The following is a 21,709-nucleotide window of genomic DNA, read 5'->3' on the forward strand; positions in this document are numbered from 1 at the left end:
TGCCTTAGCCTCCCAAGTGTGAGAAATATTGAAAAGGGCTTCCTGGAGGTGGCGAAAGAGGATGTTCGCCTTTCAGGACCCAAGACCCCTAGGTGGTTCCTGCCTTCAGAGAATTTTCTGCTCGGAGTCCCTGTTCCACAGGAGCAACCCCGGGAGCCGCCACACTCGGCAAGGTGTCATCCGTTGGGTGGCTGGGGCACAGAGCTGGGGAACTGAGTGATGTCAGAACCAGGCCTGACCATACCTCGGTGCGGCCATGGGTCCCCAGGCCTCCTCAGCAGCAACGCTGGGCCCACTAAAGATCCCAGGGTCCCTCCAGCGTTCTCAGCTCTAGCGTTTGGCATTTGTGGTGGGGAGACATTAATGCTCTGCTGGTATGTGCGGATCTGGGGTTGTATATGCTTCTAGAACACGGGCCTGTGGGTTCTCAAGCTCCTGCTTGACACGGAGCCAACCTGGAGCCTGCTCTTCACACAGGGTTTGGTCCCAGGGAGACCCACAAGCCCACACAGGAGCCCTGGATATCAGCCTGCCAGGTGTCGGCAGTCACCGTGGGCCTCTCTTCTCTCTTCATACACCAGGAACCAACCCAGCCAGGTTAAAGGACTTGCCCAAGGTCACGCGGAGGAAAGCTGGTTGGTGCCAAGTGGTTAGGAGAGAAAGGGTGAGGTCATGAGAGCAAACCTAAGAGGGCTGCTACCGACTCCCAGGATGAAATCACAGATGAAGTCACAGAATCGGAATGCTGGCTTTGGGAGAGACCGCCCTGCTCCTTCAGGAAGCTGGGGGTGGGGGCGGGAGTGGGGGCGGGGAGCAGGTGCAGGGGAAGGGGTAAGAGCTCAGACTCTGGACTTAGAAGGATCCGATTGATGATTCCAGATCCCAGTGGCTTCATGAACGTGGGCGAGTTACACAACTTCTCGGTCTCCTGCTTTTCTCCTTAGTAAAACAACCCATGCCCCACGGAGGTGCCGTAAAGACAGAACGACTCTGCAGATAGCGTTAAGCACGATGCCAGCCACCTTGGAGGCGCACAGTACATACGGCTCATGGCATTTCAGGGAGCGGCAAGCCAGTTGCTGCCAACCCGCCCGATGACTGTGTCTAAGGCGGAATCTGGAAGCCTCTCTGAGCCTCCGTCTCCCTCACTGTCCCCTCGGGGTGAGGGAGGCCACTCTATAAGGAGACCATGTGTGTGGAAGCACCTTGGGAAACGCTGCGCGCAGGCCGGGACCCAGGGCAGTCGGCCTTCCTTATCCATGGATTCAATGAACTGCAGATGGAAAACATTTGAAAAAGATGTTTAAAAATAAAAAAATAACAATTTATTAATTTTTCTTTTTTTTTTTTTTTTTTTGAGATGGAATTTCTCTCTTGTTGCCTAGGCTGGAGTGCAGTGGTGTGATCTCGGCTCACTGCAACGTCTGCCTCCCAGGTTCAAGGGATTCTCCTGCCTCAGCCTCCCGAGTAGCTGGGATTACGGGTGCCCACCACCATGCCCGGCTAATTTTTTGTATTTTTAGTAGAGACGGGGGTTCACCATGTTGGCCATGCTGGTCTCAAACTCCTGACCTCAGGTAATCCACCCACCTTGGCCTCCCAAAGGGCTGGGATTACAGGTGTGAGCCACCACACAATTTAACAATTAAAAATATATATAAATGGCTGGTCGCAGTGGCTCATGCCTGTACTCACAGCTGTCTGGGAGGCTGAGGTGGGCGGATCACTTGAGGCCAGGAGGATCGCACGAGACCAGCCTAGCCAACATGGCCAAACCCGGTCTCTATTTAAAATACAAAAAATTAGCCAGAAGTGGGGGCATGTGCCTATAATCCCAGCTGTTTGGGGTGAGGCCCAAGAATCTCTTGAACCCAGGAGGCAGAGCTTGCAGTGAGCCGAGATCAAGCCACTGCAATCCTGCCTGGGTGACAGAATGAGGCTCTATCTCAAAACGAACAAACAAACAAAAACCCAAAAAGACATGAATACAGTATAACAACAATTTACATAGCACTTACATTGTACTAGGTATTATAAGTCATCTTGAGATAATTTAAAGTATACAGAAGACATGAGTAGGTTATATGCAAATACTACACCATTTCCTATTGGTGACTTGAGCATCCATGGATTTTGGTATCCACAGAAGGTCCTGGGACCAATCCCCCATGGACAGTGAGGGATGACTTTGCTGTGATTACTATTACCGGTGATCTGGTCCTAAGTACAGACCCAGGTGGCTGTGATTTGTATGTTTGTCCCTTCCGAAACTCATGTTGAAACTTAATCCCCAATGTTTCCATATTAAGAGGTGGGGCCTTTAAGAGGTGATTGGGTGAGGGATCCACCCTGCTGAGTGGGTGAATGGATTAATGGATTATCCCAGGAGTGGGTTGTTTACCTGGAGAGCACCCTTGCCCTGCGATGCCCCCTGCTGTGTTAGGAGGCCGCACAAGGCCCTCACCAGCAGCCCATCTGTCTGACTTTAATTTGAGAAGTCAATCCTAGGCCAAGGCAGCCCATGTCTGTACTGAGCCCCCACCTCAACTCCTTCAAAGAGTCCTGTTCCTGGGTCACCTGTGCTTGGGGACAAGGCAGAGGCCTTGGGGCTGTGACGTGACAGCACCAGCTCATGAGGGCCTGGCTGCTGTGCCAGCCGTCCGTGTAGAAAGGGCCCAGGGCAGGGCACAGGCCGGGCACTGTGAAGCTGAGCTGGCGTGAGTCAGGGCATGGAAGATTCCAGGCTGTCAGGTTCCTTTCTCTCCTGCCTGCCAGAAATGCCAGAATGGGACCCCAGAGGAGCCCGTCTGCATCTGTTGCCTTCGCCCTTGTTAAACAGGACTGATGTGGAGGCTAACATCTAAGAACTTCGGAGCTGGAAGGCGGCTGGTTCAATCACTCATATTCTTGAGGAAAAACTGAGACCCAGAGAGAGAAGAAAGAACTTACCCCGAGACACATGGCCCTGTGGTGGCAACACTCCATTCTCTCTCTTCCACATGGTGCCCTTTGTATGAAAATTCTGATATGTGGAGACTGCAATGTGGACGTGGTTCATTCTGAACTCACAAATGCTTATCCCCCCAAAATAGTCTCGTTTTTGTTTTTGTTTTTGTTTTTTTGAGATGGAGTCTCTGGGCTCTGTTGCCCAGGCTGGATGGAATGCAATGGCGCGATCTTGGCTCATTGCAACCTCTGCTTCCCGGGTTCAAGCGATTCTCCTGTCTCAGTCTCTCGAGTAGCTGGGATTACAGGCACACGCCACCACACCAGGCTAATTTTTGTACTTTTAGTAGAGACAGGGTTTCACCACGTTGGCCAGGCTGGTCTTGAACTCCTGACCTCAAGTGATCTGTCCATCTCGGCCTCCCAAAGCGCTGGGATTATAGGCTTAAGCCACGGCACCTGGCCAGGGTTGTGGATCTTAAACCCAGAATCATCTAACCTTAGTGGCTTAAAGATATTACATACTGACATTATTATTTGTATATTTACACTCGGTACATTGTTTTACGGTTTCCCCTACATCACCTTATTTAACCCTCCCAACAGCCCTACGGGTAGATATTATGGTTTCTGTCTTGCAAATGAGGAGCCTGAGGCTTACGCAGATGAAGCGGGTCCCTCTGTTGGCAGCGATCTTTCCCTCACACCCCAGAGGTTTTGCCCCAGTAGTTGGGTGTCAAGAGCCTAGACTCGGTTGCCATCAGTCAGAGAGATGTCCATCCTGGAGGTGGCAGACTACTGGACACCAGGGTTAGACTTATTTTGTTTGGCCTTACGCTGTTCTAAAGCATCCTGAGTCAGCATTTATAAGTCCAAGGACGGCTGGGTGCGGTGGCTCACGCCTGTAATCCCAGCACCTTGGGAGGCTGAGGCAGGTGGATCACCTGAGGTCAGGAGTTCGAGAACAGCCTGGCCAATATGATGAAATCCTGTCTCTACTAAAAATACAAAAATTAGCCAGGCGTGGTGGTGGGCACCTGTAATCCCAGCTATTCGGGAGGCTGAGGCAGGAGAATCGCTTGAACCTGGGAGGCAGAGGTTGCAGTGAGCTGAGATTGTGCCATTACAGTCCAGCCTGGGCAACAGAGTAAGACTCCGTCTCAAAAAAAAAAAAAAAAAAAAAAAAAAGAAGTCCAAAGATGTCTTTAAAAGTAAGGATTTCTGTCTTTAAAAGCCAACCCTGGGCCAGGCAGGGTGGCTCATGCCTGTAATCCCAACAAGGCGGGCGGATCACCTGAGGTCAGGAGTTCAAGAGCAACCTGGCCTATATGGTCAAACCCGGTCTCTACTAAAAATACAAAAATTATCCGGGTGTGGTGGTGGGCACCTGTAATCCCAGCTACTCGGGAGGCTGAGGCAAGAGAATTGCTTGAACCCAAGAAGGGGAGGTTGGAGTGAGCTGAGATCGCACCACTGCACTCTAGCCCGGGCGACAAGAGCGAAACTCCGTCTCAAAAAGAGATGAAATAAAATAAAATAAAATAAAATAAAATAAAAACCAACCCTGGAAGCTCCGGCCACGTGGAGTCCAGCCTGGGCTTCCCCTCCCTCTGCTGGGCAGAGTTGTCCTTGTCCTTCAGTCCATCTGCTTTGCTTGGTCTCACCGTCGTGATTTTCACTGTTGCTTCTACCTGTAATAAACCATGGTGGCCGATGTTTGTAAATCACTTCATGGCTTACTGAGCCCCACTCCTGGACAGGCAGCGGGGTCTTTCTTAGCCTGGAAAGAATCTCTTCTGGGGGCAGTAGTTGGGTGTCAAGGAAAGTGACATGCTGATGTCTCCATATGCACAGTTGTGTCCAGCAAAGATTCAGGGGGACCAGCTGTGGCCAGGCTGTGCCTGGTGCTGAGGGTATCAAGCAGAGTAGAATCCCTGCTTCCCTAAAGCAATCTCAGCTGAAATGAACAACACTTGGGTAGGCTCTGGTTCCAGTGCCAGCTAGCTGCACTAACTAGCATATGCTTTTGGTAAGTTGCTTCCCCACTTGTGACTTCAGTGTCCCCTCTGAGGAATGGGAGGTGGTGGCCGGCCATCCTCTCGGTGCTCCTGGAGTCTGTTCGGTTAATAAGGGCCATGGGCAGGTGGACTTGCACACAGGTTGTTCTAGGCATCACCTTGCTTAGAGAGGTGGGGAGTGAGTGACTCTGCCCAGGGCTCCAGAGCCATCTTCAGTGTAAGTGTTTCTCTGGCCTAGAGTTTTCTATTTTTAATAAGACTGAAGGGCACCCCTGGGCTGTACCAGAGTCCATGGATTACTGGCCTGGGGACTGGATGGCTTATGAAGGCCACAAGTCCTGGGAACAGCAGAGGAAAATCCAATCTTGATGAAAATCCTAGGCCCTCTGGAGCACAGACCTTTGTGAAATCTCAGGTCTATTGTTAACATTTCAGGATGCAAAGGGATTTTTGCTCTATTTTCAGAATTAGTGTAAGATTTAAATCAGCAGCCATTTGTTGAATGGGGCATGGTAGACAATGTGGGGTGATGGAGCCTCAGCCTCAAAGGGGACAGCTTCACACAGTTCACATTTCAAATGTGTCGCTCACATTCCAACATCCCTTTACAGTTTACAGAGCACATTCACGTTCTCTCATTTAATCCTTACCACAGGCTGCAAGGAATCAAAAACTCAGAGGGTAAAGTGATTTGCCAAGCCAAACAAACACATAACCAGAAAGCTTATAATCCCAGTATGCAGGGGCCATCACTATGCATTATTTACAGCGTTCCTTCCAGTTTTCTCTTTGCATTTTTTTCTTTAACTGGTTATACTCTCTGTGTAGTATACTTGAATATTGTTTACTGCTTTAACTTATTTTATTATATATATTTTGAGTGGTTGAATTCCTATAGGAAGTGGTAGTGCGTGATTAGGGAATTCTTGACTAAGAACATAGCCCTTGAAATGGTGTGGACCAGGGAACATATGGTGTATTCAGGAAACAGTGAATAATTCTTTGAGGCTAGAACCCGTGACCCTGATGAATTGAGGCTTAGCAAAGAGTCTAGAAAAACATTTTATGTCAGATGATGGAGAGTTTGAGTAACATACTAAGGAATTTTAGTTTATTCTGTTTTCATGAGAGAATAATAATACATGCTACACTATATATATTTAGAAAAATACAAGTGAGGACAAACATCTAGAAATAATTCATAAGCCAGTTGCACAGAAATAATTGTTATAAATATTTTTATATATGTGTAGCCTTCTGATTGTTTTCTTTTCTTTTTCTTTTTCTTTTTTATTTTTTTAAGACAGAGTCTTGCTCTGTCACCCAGGCTGGAGTGCAGTGGTGCGATCTTGGCTCACTGCAACCTCCGCCTCCCAGGTTCAAGTGATTCTCCTGCCTTAGCCTCCCAAGTAGCTGGGACTACAGGTACCCACCACCACACCCACCTAATTTTTGTATTTTTAGTAGAGATGGGGTTTCACCATATTGGCCAGGCTGTTCTCGAACTCCTGACCTTGTGATCCACCTACCTTGGCCTCCCAAAGCGCTGGGATTACAGGCGTGAGCCACTGCACCCAGCCCTGATTGTTTCCTATACATGTATTTCTTCTTTTTTCCCCCAAAAGGGACATAAGAGACATTCTTTTGTAATCTGCTTATAATTCTATTATCATCTTTCTCAGTCATTAAAAATTCTTTTTCAATAATGATCTTTAAAAATTTTTTTCATTGGAGCTCTGTTTGAAATAAAATTTTACTAGGGACCTCAAGAGCCAAAATGGGTAAAAATAGAGCTCCCGGGATCAGAGCAGAAGCAGGAGACGTGACGCCTGCCTGACCTGGTAAGACACCCTGACTCCATCTGAAAATCATTGTTGCATAATGTGATTTGTATGACTGCACTGCAAGAAGAGAACATCACTTATCTAATCAGCCCATCCAGTTGCTTCCAATTATTCCCTTTGTAAATTGATTATTTCCCAATAAAGGTTTTTGAACATGGGGTGTGATATAATTTGAAGGCATTATTGTGAGTACCAAATATGGTAAAATCTTACCTAACTGGAATTCAGCTAACCGCAATCCTTAATTAACAAATTTTCTTTTGCTAAACTTTCAGAACATAAAGGAACCTCTCTCTCTCTCTTTGTCTCTCTTTCTCTCTCTCTCTCTCACACACACACACACACACACATACGGAGTTATGAAATAGGAATAAATTTAATAAATATGTGCAATAGGTATACTCTGAAAACTATAAAACATTACTGAGAGAAATGAAGGAAGGTGAGTGTAAATGGTAAGATATACCACACTCATGGATTGAAAGACTCAATATTCTTTAAACGCTAGTTCTCCCTCAAATTGATTCTCTAGATGCAATACAATAATATTCAACATCTTAGCAGGTCTTTTAAAAAAAAAATTTAATAAGCAGACCAGGTGTGGTGGCTCACACTTGTAATCCCAGCACTTTAAGAGGCCAAGATGGAAGGTTGTTTGGGCCCAGAGGTTTGGGACCAGCCTGGCCAACATAGCAAGACCCCATCTCAATTTTAATAAAATAAAGAAAGAAATTTAATAAGAAATTTAAAAAATTTTATACATAGAATAGCCAAAACAATTGTGAAGAGGAACAAAATTGGAAGAGTTATGCTCTCTGGTTTCAAAACTTACTATGAAGCTAATAGTAATCAAGATAGTTTGGTATTCAAGTAAATTTTGACATACAGATCAATAAAACAGAATATAAAATTCAGAAATAGACCCACCCACACATATGGTCAACTGATTTTCAGCAAACGTGTCAAGACAATTAAATGGGGGGAAAGACAATCTTTTCAATAAAAGGTAGTGAAATCATTGGTTGACTCAATGTACAAAGATGAATCTTAACCTTACCTCACACCAATTCAAAAATTAACTTGAAGCAGATCATAAACTATATGTAAGAGCTAAAATTATAAACCTTTAAAAAAAAACAGAAGAAAATGTTAGTGATCCTGGGCAAGGCAACTATTTTAAAAATAGGGCACAAAAAGCAAAAACTACAAAAGAAAATACAAAACTACATCAAATTTGGACTTCATCAAAAATTAAAATGTCTGCTCTTTGAAAACACCATTAGGAAAATGAAAAGGCAAGTCTCATTGGCTTGTACCAGACTATATAAATGACTTGTACCAGAATATATAAAGAATTCTCATGGCTGGGCATGGTGGCTCATGCCCGTAATCCCAGCCCTTTGGGAGACTGAGGTGGGCAGATCACCTGAGGTCAGGAGTTTGAGACCAGCTTGGCCAACATGATGAAACCCCGTCCTACTAAAAATACGAAAATTAGCCTGGTGTGGTGGTGCGTGCCTGTAATCCCAGCTACTTGAGAGGCTGAGGTGGGAGAATCACTTGAACCCAGGAGGCAGAGGTTGCAGTGAGCCAAGATCACACCACTGCACTCCATCCTAGGCAACAAAGTGAGACTGTCTCAAAAAAAAAAAAAAAAAGAATTCTCACAACACAGTAATGATAAAAGACAATTAAAATTGTGTATAAGATTTGAGCAGATATTTTATCAAAAAAAATCACAGATGTCGAATAAGCACATGAAAAAAATGCTGAACATCATTAGTCATTAGGGAAATGTAAATTTAAACCAAAAGGAGATACCACTACATACACACTGAAATGGATGACATTCAAAAGATTGATAATGCCAAGCATTAGAATGGAACAACTTGAACTCTCATACACTGCTGAATACAAAACTGTACAATCATTTTAGAAAACAGCTTAGCCTAGGCTGGCACAAGGGCTCATGCCTGTAATCTCAGCATTTGGGAGGCTGAGGCAGGAGGATCGCTTGAGCCCAGGAGTTCAAGACCAGCATAGGCAACATAGACAGACCCTGTCTCTACAAAAAAAAAAAAAAAAAAAAAAATTAAAATAAAAAATTAGCTGGGCATGGTGGCACATGCCTGTAGTCTTAGCTACTCAGGAGGCTGAGGTAGAGGCATTGCTTGAGGCCAGGAGGGCTAGGCTGCAATGAGCCGTGATTGCACCACTGCACTCCAGCCTGGGTGGACAGAGTGAGATGCTGTCCCAAAAAAAAAAAAAAAAAAAAAAAAGTAAGAAAAAAAAAGAAGAAAAAGAAAAGAAGGGAAAGGAGAGGAGGGGAGGGGAGGGGATGGAAGAGGAGGAGAGGAGAGGAGAGGACAGGACAGGACAGGACAGGAAAGGAAAGGAAAGCAAAGCAAAGGAAAGGAAAGGAAAGGAGAGAAGTTTAGCATTCACTTATAAAGTTAACTATTCACTTACCATATGACTTGGAAATTCTATTCTTAAATATTTTCTCAAGTGTAGTGAAAACATGTCTACACAGAGATTTGTGCCTGAGTTTTCACAGCAGCTTTGTTCAGAGTAGCCACTGGAAGTGATCCAAATGTCCATCAGTTGGTAAATAGATAAAGAAAAATTACTAAGTGGAATACTACTCAGCAATTAATAGGTATGAGCTGATACATGCAGCAAAATAGATGAATTGCAAAGCACTACTAAGGCAAAAAAGACAACTCCCTGTATGCGCCCACTACATGAAGTTCTAGAAAAGGCAAACCTATAGTGATAGCAGATCAGTAGTTGCTAGCAGTTACGGGATTGGGTATAGAATTTAAAATTACATTTTTGGTACTGGTGGCACTGCTGTATACAGATGTCAAAACTCATCATTGTACACCTAAAATCGGTCAATGTTGTTGTATATAAATTCTACTTCTGCTGACATTTGAATTCCTCTTTGTCTACTTTTTTGTCATTCCTCTAGCCACTTAGCTGCTTCACATTTAAAGGTTCAGGACTGCCATGTCTGCTGTTACAAGGATAGAGTTTGTGTTTCTGTTTAGTTACTTTTCTTATTTTGGGGTAATTTTTCAGAGAAAAAATAAGTGGGAACATTTTTCCCTCATCATCTTAAATTTGGAAGTCCTATAGATGTTAGTTAAAGTCGTGGGGCTGGAGTTATCCCTATTCCTTCGCATATTCATGGACATTTTGAGACTGTGAATGAGTTCCCACAATGATGAATAAGGTCTCTGATCTCCCATATCTCCCCACTTCCTCTTCACCATCCCCCCAATATAGTTATAAAACAGTGTTAGTTATATCAGTAGTTAGGATATACTTTATTATGATTGTGCAGATGTCATTCACTAGAAAACCAGTAACTTAATGCCCATAACACCTTTCTTCCTCAGTTCTTCATTTTTACTAGAGTTGTTCATTTGCCACCTTTTTTTCATTTGTCTGATTTTCTACACACCCACCATTAATTTTTCCTAATGCCCCAACAAGTCAGCCTCAACTCCATCAGTAATGTTTTCCATTATCTCAAACATCGCATATATTCCTCTAATTCCCAGAGACCTCTTTCTCAGAGCCAGCCTTTCTTCCATTTATTCTGTTGAGACTGGATGCTGGGTGGATGTCATTCTGGTTTCTAGTCCCCATCATCCTGGGGGTTCATCCATATTTTGGATCTCTTGCTTCCTGATATCTTGGTCCATGTGTTCTTTTCTTGGTTACTCCCTTGTTTTTTGTTTGTTTGTTTTTTGTTTTGTTTGTTTGAGATGGAGTCTCGCTCTGTCACCAGACTGGAGTACAGAGGCGCAATCTCGGCTCACTGCAACCTCCGCCTCCCAGGTTCAAGTGATTCTCCTGCCTCAGCCTCCTGAGTAGCTGGGACTACAGGCACACACCAACATGCCCAGCTAATTTTTGTATTTTTATTAGAGACGGGGTTTCACCATGTTGACCAGGCTGGTCTCAAACTCCTGACCTTGTGATCCACCCACCTCGGTCTCCCAAAGTGCTGGGATTACAGGCGTGAGTCACTGTGCCCAGCCCTAGACTTTTATTTAAAATGAGACTTCTGTGGCTCTGTTACTCTCCTTCCTGGAAGGGAGGGAGGAGCAAGACCGGTTTGCCCCAAGCCTATAAATGGAATAAACCAGTCCCCAACAGGTTCTGCAACTTGCCTGAGATCTTATCGCTCCTGAGTTTGGGAAACTCTTGAGTTATTTAAGCCACACTCTTAGAAGGTTGTTTTGCTTCTGTTTAATTGGGGCTGTGCCTTCTGGCTGTTGAGCTCCTTTGACAAAGTGATTTTGCATCCAGAGTACTTTATTCATTCATCCATTCATTCACTAAAAAAACCTTTATTAAGCACTTGGTCTGTTAGCAGAAAAAGTAGGCTCTTTGGAACAGGCAGAACTGAGTTAAGTTCCCTCTTGGCCTCTTGCTGGTTGGGTGACCTGATTAGTCCTCCTGAGCCTCAGTTTCCTTTACTGTTTAATGACAACAGTTAAGAGATCATTTGGGTAATGGGCCTGGTACAGTGCCTGACAGAGTCTGTGCCTAGCAAATACGCACTCCTTATCCTTCCCCAGGGCTATGCAAACTGCAAGTGGTTTCAGTTTCAGTTATGGGCAGACCAGGCTACCAGCAGGCCTTGGAGCGCCTGGAGGATCCATTCAGAGGGCAAGTGCTGGATACTCTCTTCTCTCTAGCAGGAACATGGAGGGTGGATGAGAAGCAGCAAGGATGATGTTTGCTTTCTGGATCATCCCTGTGCCTTGTGATTAGCATTTAATAGGCTCCCAGAAAGCTTTGAAGATAATCATATGTCTACCCCTCCCTTTTGACTGATGATCTTGACGTGATATACGCTTATGTCAGTGAGGAAATAGGGAGGCTCTTGCAATGAGCCAAGAGTTGCTCTTTAGCTTTCAAAAACGTAAAGTCTAGTGAAAATTCAGCCCACAATGGAGTGGCACAGGAATTTGTCTTCAGAAATGCCTCCTCCACAAAGCTGTTTTGTGGGAATGAACAGGGGATGATATGGTAAAATAAGCCTAATGACAATTTATGGTCTTTATACCTCACTTTTCCGTGTACAAAGTTTTGACAAAGCCCTTGTATATCCATCATCCCATTCGTGCCTTCAAGCCCCATAAGGTGGTTTGATAAAGTTATCACCCCCATACTGCAGATAAGAAAACTGAGACTCACTGAAGCGATTTGTCCAGGCCATATAGCTAGCAGGGAAGTAGGAGGGCCAGGACTTAAATCTACTCTCTTGAGTCCAGAGACCCTGCTCTGCTGCCTCAAGGTAGCATTTAGCTATTGCCACACCTCTTTAGCTAAACTTTTAGCTGACTTGTCCTGAGTTCTAAGTCCTGGGATGTTGGCAATATCAGGGGGTGAGGAGGAGGCAGTGGGACCAGCTCCAATGTGGCCACACCTGAATATCAGGGTATCAGGGATGCAGCCTAGCTGAGTTGTGGCCACATTCCTTGAATTCCCGTGACCTGGTCACATAAGAATAATGCAGCCCCTGGGGTGGTCTCATCAGAGCCAGATCTATCCGTCTCACCACTCAAGGGCTCACTCCTGTAATTCTGCCTCTCTCCAACGTAACCCACGATTGATTTCCACTAGCATACAAAATGCTGCAGTCGTTCATATTCCCTTCAGCTCCTTTCCGCTCTTGCCCAAGTTTCTGCTCCCCCTTTCAGGGAGTTGTCACCACTTGTGTCCCCTTTCCCTCCTCCCATTCTGCCTTAAACCTGTTCCAATTAAACTTTCATCCTTATCACTTTCCTGAAATCACCGTGTCAATGCTGTGTATCTTGCTGAGTCCTATGCTGAACTCACTCAAACTCTTAATAGCATTTGACATTTCTTTCTTCTTGAAACTTGCTTCATGTGGCTTCCGGTCACCACACTCCTCTGGTTCTCTTCCTTCTCCATCATCTTTGCTGGATGCTTCTGCTGTCCCTGACATCTAATGCTATGGTGTCCTGTGACTTAGCCCTGGGCTGTCTTCTCCCACCTGCCATCTACCCTCACTTCCTAGGTGTCTTCACTTTGTCCATGGCTTTATATTCCCCATAGACACTGATGACTTCCAAATTCATATCTCCAGCCAGAACATCTCCTTGGAATTCCAGACTCATGTGTTGACTTCCTCCTCAATATTTTCTCTTGTATTTCCAATAGACATGTCAAATTTTGTCCCAAATCTTGAGTTTTCACCCCAATATCTGCTCACAGTGATCTTGTAGTCTCCTCCACTCACTACAGCATGGCATCCTTGATTCCTCTCTTTTGCTCACAACTACATCCAGTCCATTGTTGGCTCTACCTTCAAAACACATCTGTTTCTCATTGCCCTTCTCTAGTGTCCTAACAGGCACCACATACATCTTTAGGCTGGATTCCTGGTACAGCCTCCCAATTACTCATCTCCATTGTGCCCTTATCCTTTATAGTCAGCCTGAGTAGGCGTAAATCAGACTGCATCATTCCTCTGCTCAAAATCCTTCAATGACTTTTCCACTGACTTAGAATTAGATCAAAATACCTAACCATGGTCCCAGACAGAATATTCAAAATACCCATATTTAACAACTGGTAGAGGAATGCATAGTCATATATAAGTTTCTATATAAATCAAAAATTTTAAATATATTATCTTCTATTTTCCAAATGAACCAAACTATATTTATCTATATAATAAAGCTGCTGGCTGGGTGTGGTGGCTTACACCTGTAATCCCAGCACCTTGGGAGGCCGAGGCGGGAGGATCACTTGAGGTCAGGAGTTCAAGGCCGGCCTGGCCAACATGGGGAAACCCTGTCTCTACTAAAAATACAAAAATTAGCTGGGCGTGGTGGCACAAGCCTGTAATCCCAGCTACTCCAGAGGCTGAGGCAGGAGTATCGCTGGAACTCAGGAGGCAGAGGTTGCAGTAAGCCGAGATTGTGCCACTGCATTCTAGCCTGGGTGACAGAGCAAGACTCCATCTCAAAAGAAAAAAAGAAAAAAAAACTGCTTACAAAATGATATTAATATAACACAGAGCACACATCAAATCAGCCTAATACTCTAAGTCATTTATTGGTTTTCAGAAATAATTGGTGTGAACAGTGAACAATCTGAAAAAGAAATCAAAAAACCAATCCCATTTACAATATTCAAACAAAATTAAATACCTAGGAGTTAACCAAAGAAGTAAAAGATCTCTATAATGTAAACTATAAAACACTGATGAAAGGAATTGACGAGGACACCAAAAAATGGAGGCATACTCTATGTTCATGGATTGGAAGAATCAATATTGTTAAAATGTCCATACTACCCAAAGCAATCTACAGATTCAATGCAATCTCTATCAAAATACCAATGACATTCTTCACAGAAATAGAAATAACTGTCCTAAAATTTATATGGAACCACAAAAGACCCAGAATGCCAAAGCTATCCTAAGCAAAAAGGACAAAGCTGGAGGAATCACATTAACTGACTTCAAATTATACTACAGAGCTATTGTAATCAAAATAGCATGCTATTAGCATAAAAACACTCACATAGCCCAACAGAACAGAATAGAGAACCCAGAAACAAATCCACACACCTACAGCAAACTAATTTTTGACAAAGGGGCCTAGAACATACACTGAGGAAAAGACAGTCTCTTCAATAAAGAACAAAACTAGACCCCTATCTCTCACCACATACAAAAATCAAATTGAAATGGATTAAAGACTTAAATCTGAGACCTCAAACTATGAAACTACTAAAAGAAAACATTGGGGAAACTCTCCAGGACATTGGTCTTGGCAAAAATTTCTTGATTAATACCCCACAAGCACAGGCAACCAAAGCAAAGATGGACAAATTGGATCACATCAAATTAAAAAGCTTCTGCACAGCAAAGGAAACAATCAACAAAGTGAAGAGACAACCCACAGAATGGGAGAAAATATTTGCAAACTATCCATCTGACAAGTGATTATTAGCCAGAATACATAAGGAGCTCAAACAACTCTATAGGAAAAAAATTCTAATAATCCAATAAAGAAATTGGCAAAATATTTTAATAGACATTTCTCAAAAGAAAACATACAAATGGCAAACAGGTATATGAAAAACTGTGCAACATCATCAATCATCAGAGAAATGAAAATCAAAACCACGATCTCGGCTGGGCGCGGTGGCTCACGCTTGTAATCTCAGCACTTTGGTAGGCCAAGGCAGGCAGATCGTGAGGTCAAGAGATGGAGACCATCCTGGCCAACATGGTGAAACCCTGTCTCTACCAAAGAAATACAAATTTAGCTGGGTGTGGTGGCACGTGCCTGTAGTCCCAGCTACTCAGGAGGCTGAGGCAGGAGAATTGCTTGAACCTGGGAGGCGGAGGTTGCAGTGAGCTGAATTTGCGCCACTGCACTCCAGCCTGGGCAACAGAGCAAGACTCTGTTTCAAAACAAACAAACAAACAAACAACAACAACAGCAACAACAAAAACCTACAATCTCATCCCAGTTAAAATGGTTTATATCCAAAAGACAGGCAATAACAAACACTGGTGAGGATGTAGAGAAAAGAGAACCCTCAAACACTGTCGATGGGGATGCAAATTAGTACAAGCATTAGGGAGAACAGTTTGGAGGTTCCTCAAAAAACTAAAAATAGAGTTACCATATGATCCAGCAATCCCACTGCTGGGTATATACTCAAAAGAAAGGAAATCAATATATTGAAGAGATACCTGCACTCCCATGTTTATTGCAGCACTGTTTACAATAGCCAAGATTTAGAAGCCACCTAAGTGTCCATCACCAGATGAATGGATAAAGAAAATGTGGTACATATTCACGATGGAGTACTATTCAGCCATGCAAAAGAATGAAATCCTGTCATTTGTAATAACATGAATGGAACTGGAAGTCATTATGTTAAGTGAAGTAAGCCAGGCACAGGAAGACAAACATCACATGTTCTCACTTATTTGTGGGATCTAAAAATCAAAACAAGTCACTTTATGGAGACAGAGAGTAGAAGATTGGTTATCAGAGTCTGGGCAGGGTAGTTGGTCAGGGGCAGGGAATGGTGAAGAGGGAGGTGGGGATGGTTAATGAATACAAAAGTAATAGAAAGAATGAATAAGACCTAGTATTTGCTAGCACAACAGGGTGACTGTAGTCAATAATAATTTACTTGTGCATTTTAAAATAACTAAGAGAGTGTAATTGGAAGAAAGGATTGTAAGAAAGGATAAATGCTTGGGAGGACGGATACCTCATTTTCCATGATGGATTATGCATTGTGTGCCTGTAACAAAATATCTCATGTGCCCCATAACTACGTATACTTACTATGTACCCACAAAAATTAAAAATCGAAAAAGTTTTTAAAAGTTTAAAAAAGAAAAACAAGTTGTTGGTATGATCTTTTGTTTGATACATTCTCACTAATGAGATGATGACTTAATCAGAGTTATGATTTGACAGACGGAAATGCTCCAAAATCCTCCAGTAACTTCCCTTCAAATCAGTGGTTTCTAGGTAACTAAGAGTCTCAAAATAGAGAATTTCTCTAAATAACAATATTTTTATGATAATGAATTGTTCCTGAGCTTCTGGTGGACTAAGAACAATTGTATTAAAATTTTTTTTGGATCCTTATCCAATTTCATCTGAGCTTGTTATTCAACATCTTTTTATTGGCTAAGTCACAAAAGTCTTTGGTGAAATGTCACATTTAGTTAGGTTGAGCCTAATCCTTCCTGAGAGGGTCATAGTATGGTGGCTCAAACTGGGTGTGTGTCCCCACCAGGCTGCTTTCTTTTGTTCACTGGCTCAGCTGCTTACATAAATTTTAAATGACTTCTCTTTGTTTCAGTTTTCTCATCTGTAAAATGGGGTGATGATGATGATGATGATAACTTCAAATGAGCAAAATACATTTAGATTGGTGCTTGGCTCACAAAATGCTAAACATGCATTAGCTCTCACTTTATTAATAAAATCAACGTCAGTACCCTTGACTCAAAGGTGTGTGGTGGGTTTTAACGACCATGTCCCCTTAAACGGAGATGAGGTTAAACAAGAACAGTGAAAAGAGGGAGTCCCATGCACCCTGGTGTCCTCAGGCCCCAAATCATCCCCTTGGTCCCTTCCTTCCCCCATAGCCTCCCTCCTGTCATGGAGCATCCACTATTCCAATGAAGCCCTCAATTCCTGGCTGGGGCCTGGGTAGGGCCCCTACTGAGGAAGTTCTCTCCCTGGCTCTCTCTAAGCCCGAATCCCATGAAGGCTGTAATCTCCACACCCAGATATGAGGTAAGTGGACAGTCCAAGGCAGTCATAGCCGGCTGGCTGGCCACCAGTTGGCTCACCAGGAGTCTGTCCTCTCTTCCCATCATTCCCCAGTGGGAGCCAATGATGGTGGCCAGGAGGTGAGACTTTCAGGGGACAGCCGGTGTAAATATTTTAACAAATGGAACAGGCACTATGGGTGCATTGGCTAAACATCAGCCCTGTAGGCCCAGGAGACCTTTGGCCATTGGGTCCTCATCTAGCTGGCATTTTCATCTCCCTAAGACTCATTCCCTCATATTCTTGCAAGTCTCTCACCCATTCCCATTTCTTTTTTCTTTTTCTTTTTTTTTGAGACAGAGTCTCGCTCTGTCACCCAGGCTGGAATGCAGTGGTGCAATCTCGGCTCACTGCAACCTCCCCCTCCTGAGTTCCAGCAATTCTCTGGCCTCAGCTTCCCGAGTAGCTGGGATTACAGGCACGTGTCACCATGCCCAGCTAATTTTTGTATTTTTAGTAGAGATGGGGTTTCACAATGTTGGCCAGGCTGGTCATGAACTCCTGACCTCAAGTGATCCACCCGCCTCAGCCTCCCAAAGTGTAGGATTACAGGCATGAGCCACCGCGCCCAGCTCTCCATTCCCATTTCTGCTCAACTGGCCCTTCTTCAGAGAGGTCTCTCTGATGACCCTACAAAAATTCTCTTCACTATCTTCCACCCAAGTCATCCTATACATATGTATATACCTTGCTGTGTGGTGTTTTTTCTTACAATGTTTTTAGTCCTCTCTAAAATTGTTTTTTATTTGTATCTGTTTTCTATCATCCTGTCATGATAACTATGGCCAAAAGACAAGATGACAAATACTGTCACAAATACCACCGGAAGATGTAGAAAACAGTGTGGAAAATTTAGAAGAGACACATCTTAGAAAAAATTACACTGGTCTGCCATTCAAAGCTTTGCAATGCTGCTGGATAAGATGCAGATGTTTCAAACATGTCTCTGCATGAGAGCTGCTAGATTCTATTTCCACAATGGAACATAGGGAAAAAAAAAAACCACTTGTAATGGGAAGATGCACCAGGAAACACCTATTCTAGACAATAAACCATTTCTTTTTATAAACAACACTTTGTGGTAAAATTGTGTCTGTGTAGCCGGGCGCGGTGGCTCACGCCTGTAATCCCAGCACTCTGGGAGGCCGAGGCAGGTGGATCACGAGGTCAGGAGATCGAGACCATCCTGGCTAGCGTGGTGAAATCCCATCTCTACTAAAAATAGAAAAAATTAGCCGGGTGTGGTGGCGGGTGCCTGTGGTCCCAGCTACTCGGGAGGCTGAGGCAGGAGAATGGCGTGAACCCAGGAGGTGGAGCTTGCAGTGAGCCGAGATCGCGCCACTGCACTCCAGCCTGGGCGACAGAGCGAGACTCCATCTCAAAAAAAAAAAAAAAAAAAAATTGTGTCTGTGTAACCATGAAAGAACCTAGAATACTAGAAGAGCTCTGAGAGAAGACATTGACAGCACCGCGGGGGCAATTCACCCACCGCCTCATCCACCAGCATCAAGTGGCAGCAGAAGTTAAAGGCAGAAGGTGCACACTGCTGGAGTGTGTCAGGATATAGTCAATTTTATGAAGACAAGACTGTGCAGATATAGCGCAGGAATCGCCGTCATCTGGACTGAGCATGAATATCCACAAAAGTCCTGTGTCCCCACAGAAGGCTTTTGGATACCTCATGGCAAAACATTTCAAAGACCTGCCAGACCCACAGATGAGCTAGTTACCTTCTTTTTTAAAAAACAGGAAAGTAAGTATTCCTGGGATGACAAGTAGTTGTCAGTAGTATTGGCAGATATTTTTGAAATGGGGAATACACTTAATTTGTCCCTTCAGGGTAAAGGGAATGTTTTAACAAAGTGAGCATCAGAATGGCTGGGTGTCTTGACTGCCTTATCTTTATATTTATGATTGCAAATGTCAAGTAGGCCCTCATGCTGCTTGCAATTTTTGCTAGATTCCTGATTCCATTCTTCCATTTCCAAGAGTTATTACACCTCTGGTCTCCTCTCAAACTTCCCACAGCCCTCCCCACTCCCACTCTCAACTGATGACTTGCTTCCATTTCAATGAAGCTCAGAGAACAGACCTTCCACCTCATGCACCTGCGCTGTCCCACGTGCTCTCCCTTCTTTCCTGGTTCTGCAGCAGATGAACCCTCTATGCTAGGGCTGACCCCTCCATGGTGCTGCAGATCCTCTCCCTTCTCACGCACTGCATTAGTCTGTTTTCACACTGCTGATAAAGACATACCCGAGACCGGGCAATTTACAAAAGGAGGAGGTTCAAATGGACTTATTCAGTTCCATGTGGCTGGGGAAGCCTCACAATCATGGTGGAAGGCAAGGCCTTGACCTCCTAAAATCCTGGGATTATAGGCATGAGCCACCAAGCCTGATCTAATTTGTACTTGTCTGATAAGTAATGACGTTGCGTACATTTTCATATATTTATTGACCATTTAGCTGTTATCTTTTATGAAATACCTGTTCAAATCTTTTTGCCTATTTTTAACTGGATTGTTTATTATTTCTTAATAGATCGGTAGGAAACCTTTGTTACATGTCTTGTCGAATATGTATTGTGAATTTCTTCTCTCAGTTTTTAGTTTGCTTTAATTATGTCTTTTTTTTTTTAATTTTTTTTAAAGACAGGGTCTCTGTCACCCAGGCTGGAGGGAAGTGTCATGATCACAGCTCACTGCAGCCTTGACTTCCCGGGCTGAAGCAATCCCCCCGACCCAGCCTCCTGAGTAGCTGGAACTACAGGCATGCCCACCACACCCAACTAAGTTTTAAAAAAATTTTGTAGAGATAGGATCTCTCTATGTTGCCCAGGCTGATCTTGAACTTCTGGGCTGAAGCAATCCTCCCACCTCGGCCTCTGAAAGTGCTAGGTTCTAGGCGTGAGCCACTGTGCTCAGCCTAACAATGTCTTCTGATGAATCGAAGTTCTTAATTTAATGAAATCCAGTGTAATGACCTTTTCTCTTAGGAGTAGTGCTTTTTGTGCCCTGTTGATGAAGTCTATTCCACACCAAATCATAAAGATATTTACCACTTTTTTTTTCTAGAAGCTTTATGGTTTTACCTATCACATGTAGGATCTATTTGAATTAATTTTTGTGTACAGTGTGAGAAAGGGGTCAATAATTTTCTCATATGCATGTCTGATTGATTCAGAACCATTTATTGAAAAACTATTCTTTCAGCTCACGCCTATAATCCCAGCACTTTGGGAGGCCGAGGTGGGTGGATCACTAGAGGCTATGAGTTCGAGACCAGCCTGGCCAACATGGCAAAATTCCATCTCTACTAAAAAATACAAAATTAGCCAGGTGTCATGGCACATGCCTGTAGTCCCAGCTACCTCTACTTGGGAAGCTAAGGCCCGAGAATTGCTTGAACCTGAGTGGCAGAGGTTGCAGTGAGCCGCGATTGTGCCATTGCACTCCAGCCTGGGCAACAGAGCAAGACTCTATCTCAAAAAAGAAACAAAGAAAAAGGAGAAAAGCTATTCTTTCCTCACTGAATTTTAGTAGCAGCTTTGTTGTAAATCAGATTATTTTATATGTACTTATGAGTCCGTTTCTGGACTTTCTATTCAGTTCTGTCAATTTTTTGGTCTATCCTTGCATCACACTAGATTACTGTATGATTTATTTTTTTCTCTTTTATTTATTTTTTAAATCTTTATTCTTTTTTCTCTACTTTTTCTTTTAACATTTTTTAATTTTGAGAAAAGGTCTTGCTTTGTCATGTAGGCTGGAATGCAGTGGCGTGACCACAGCTCACTGCAGCCTCAACCGATCCTCCCACCTCAGTCTCCTAGGTACCTGGGACTATTGGACTGTGCCACCACACCCAGCTAATTTTTTAATTTTTTGCAGAAATGAGGTCTCATTATGTTTCCCAGGCTGATCTCAAACTCCTGGGCTTAAGTGTTCTGTCCACCTTGGCCTTCCAAAATGCTGAGATTACAGGCTCGATGTTAAACAAACTTGCATTCCTAGAATAAACCTAACTTGGCTGTGATTTATTATCCTATTTATATATTGCTGAGTACAACAGGATGTACATTCAATTTACTGATGTTTTGTTTGGAACTTTTGCATGTATGTTTATGAGAGGAATTGCTTTTTAATTTTGACTTTTCTTGAAATATCCTTGTCAAGTTTTGGTGTCAAGGTCATGCTTGTCTCCTAAAATGTACTGGTAAATGCTCTTCTTTTTTCATTATTTGGAAGCATCTGTATAAGATGGGTGTTATTTATTTCTTTTTAAAATTATTATTATTATTGAGACAGAGTCTCTCTCTATCAACCAGGCTGGAGTGCAATGGCATGATCTTGGCCCACTGCAACCTCTGCCTCCCAGGTTCAAGCAATTCTTGTGCCTCAGCCTCCCAGGTAGCTAGGATTACAGGCGTGCAACACCATGCCCAGCTAATTTTTGTATTTTTAGTAGAGACGAGGTTTTGTCATGTTGGTCAGGCTGGTCTCGAACTCCTGGCCTCAAATATTCTCCTG

The 21,709-nt window shown here is 43.6% G+C and overlaps 5 annotated features.

Moving 5' to 3' along the window:
* Nucleotides 212-1,411: an enhancer, noted in NCBI's record as "MED14-independent group 3 enhancer chr2:9959896-9961095 (GRCh37/hg19 assembly coordinates)". NCBI's record gives its function as "activates an origin of replication core promoter dependent on BRD2, BRD4, P300/CBP and CDK7 cofactors, and independent of MED14, by STARR-seq in HCT116 cells {active_cell/tissue: HCT116}" and the evidence as "EXISTENCE:reporter gene assay evidence [ECO:0000049][PMID:35650434]".
* Nucleotides 212-1,640: a biological region, named in NCBI's record as "MED14-independent group 3 enhancer GRCh37_chr2:9959896-9961095".
* Nucleotides 737-1,640: an enhancer, noted in NCBI's record as "H3K27ac-H3K4me1 hESC enhancer chr2:9960421-9961324 (GRCh37/hg19 assembly coordinates)". NCBI's record gives its function as "activates a minimal SCP1, AML or CMV promoter by ChIP-STARR-seq in naive H9 embryonic stem cells {active_cell/tissue: H9 hESC(naive)}" and the evidence as "EXISTENCE:reporter gene assay evidence [ECO:0000049][PMID:30033119]".
* Nucleotides 10,517-11,056: an enhancer, noted in NCBI's record as "H3K27ac-H3K4me1 hESC enhancer chr2:9970201-9970740 (GRCh37/hg19 assembly coordinates)". NCBI's record gives its function as "activates a minimal SCP1, AML or CMV promoter by ChIP-STARR-seq in naive H9 embryonic stem cells {active_cell/tissue: H9 hESC(naive)}" and the evidence as "EXISTENCE:reporter gene assay evidence [ECO:0000049][PMID:30033119]".
* Nucleotides 15,058-15,266: a silencer, noted in NCBI's record as "fragment chr2:9974742-9974950 (GRCh37/hg19 assembly coordinates)". NCBI's record gives its function as "represses an EF-1alpha promoter that drives an FKBP-Casp9 reporter gene in an ReSE screen in phorbol 12-myristate 13-acetate-treated (for megakaryocytic differentiation) K562 erythroleukemia cells {active_cell/tissue: K562(+PMA)}" and the evidence as "EXISTENCE:reporter gene assay evidence [ECO:0000049][PMID:32094911]".

This window comes from Homo sapiens, chromosome 2 (assembly GCF_000001405.40).
Source record: "Homo sapiens chromosome 2, GRCh38.p14 Primary Assembly".
Classification (NCBI taxonomy): Eukaryota; Metazoa; Chordata; class Mammalia; order Primates; family Hominidae; genus Homo; species Homo sapiens.